Raw genomic sequence first — 1681 nt, forward strand, 5'->3', positions numbered from 1 at the left:
CACCTCTCTTCCAGCACATTTTTGTGATGCATTTTGTTTTGTTTTGCCTGTTTGCTTAAATTTTCAGGGCTCTCTATATGTTCACAAAATTACTGCACATACATTCAGCCCATGGGCTGGCATCCTTCAACAGAAGTGGCTTCCAGTCTGGGACTTGTTAACCATTCATTATATTTCTGACTTCAATGCTGAATTGGTGGGAAATTATATCCACTAGGCTTCATTCCTAATGACACAGAGACACTGAGTGGGAGTTTGTGAGTGATGACTTTTCCAGTAGAATGTGAAGGTAATTGTAACAGTTTGACATAGAAGAACAGAGTGACTGCTTCAGGCATGAGGACATAGGGTACAAACCAAGATAAAAGGAAGACTTGGAAACAAAGGCTACATTCTGAACCAGTTCTTTCTAAGTACTTTACACTAGAGGAGAACTTGTTAATGAATAACCTCTATTGAATAGCTGCCATGAAAGCAAACAGAGAGCTATTTTACTATTAGTTACATTTTCATGCAAACGTTACTCATTTGTTCCTGAAAAACCAAATATTCCCTATCACCCTTGAAGTGTAGGATAGAAAGGAATGCTTAGGTAGCCAACACGAACCACTGAAAGAAGAGGTAGAAAATATGAAGAAAGCTGACCGCAGACGAGACAGTGAACTCCAAGGAAAAAAAAAAAAAAAAAAAGGAAAGGAAGGAAGCAAAGCCCACATTTAATGTAAAGAGATGTGTAGTTCATTGAACTAAACCCCAGAATAGAACATAAGAGTTAACACTTTAGTCAACATCAGGGAAATGGGATCATTATTACAATTCCCACATAACAATATTTATTTGTTTTAAATCCTGGTTACCATAAAAGGTTAGAGTTTTATATAAATGTTAATATTCTTTGTTTACCATCAGTAATATGATGGGAATCTTGAGCATCTAAGATTTAAAATCCCAGTTTAACAACTTAAAAATCCCAGATTAACAATTTAATACTGTGTTCATTGCTCTGTTTCAAGTTTGCTTTTTATTTATAAACAAATCCTAACTCTTTATTTCTCAGTAGAGCATCTATCATAATTCCAATTTATTTTCTTATCCTTCTATCAATTTCTGTATTTTTTTCTATTCCCTGCCACATCTTCTAATCATAGCTGCACATCTAACTTATGAGAGATCACTTGGAAAATCACAGGATTCCACAGGACCTGTCATTTTAATTAACAATACATTAGATAAATTCCAATTAACATTCACATTTATTGAGTTAATATGTTTAACAGTTTTTCAATTATTGGATTTTCCCATAATGAATAATTGAGTTTCAGTTTCCTAATGACTCCTCTCAAATTTCAAAAAAAAGTCAAAAAGTCAAATAGAACTTCCAGCTTTAGGGGTTCATGTATGGAACTACACAGTGCTATCTATATTTAAAATATAGAGCAAATTGGATGCTTTGTATAAACAAACCTTTACATTCTATTGGCTTCCGAGAGGCATAGTTCACATGAAATCTGAATGCATGTCCTTTATAATCTAGTCTAAGTGTCAGTTTGAAGACAAGATTCAATGTTAATAACTCAAACCAGGAGGAATTCATCATATTCCAAGTTAGAAAGAAGTGTATCTGAGAAAAATGAATCATATTTTAATCTGAACTCATGAATAATAATTTTAGTCCAAATGA

General features: G+C 33.4%; 2 annotated features.

Annotated features, from left to right (window-relative positions):
• Nucleotides 372–516: an enhancer, noted in NCBI's record as "145 bp enhancer 195 fragment used in the MPRA reporter construct; PK_construct_9". NCBI's record gives its function as "activates an SV40 promoter by MPRA in HepG2 cells {active_cell/tissue: HepG2}" and the evidence as "EXISTENCE:reporter gene assay evidence [ECO:0000049][PMID:23512712]".
• Nucleotides 438–451: a transcriptional cis regulatory region, noted in NCBI's record as "HNF1 motif; enhancer activity is reduced when this motif is scrambled". NCBI's record gives its function as "necessary for full MPRA enhancer 195 activity {active_cell/tissue: HepG2}" and the evidence as "EXISTENCE:site-directed mutagenesis evidence [ECO:0005528][PMID:23512712]".

Source organism: Homo sapiens, chromosome 7, assembly GCF_000001405.40.
Source record: "Homo sapiens chromosome 7, GRCh38.p14 Primary Assembly".
Taxonomy (NCBI): Eukaryota; Metazoa; Chordata; class Mammalia; order Primates; family Hominidae; genus Homo; species Homo sapiens.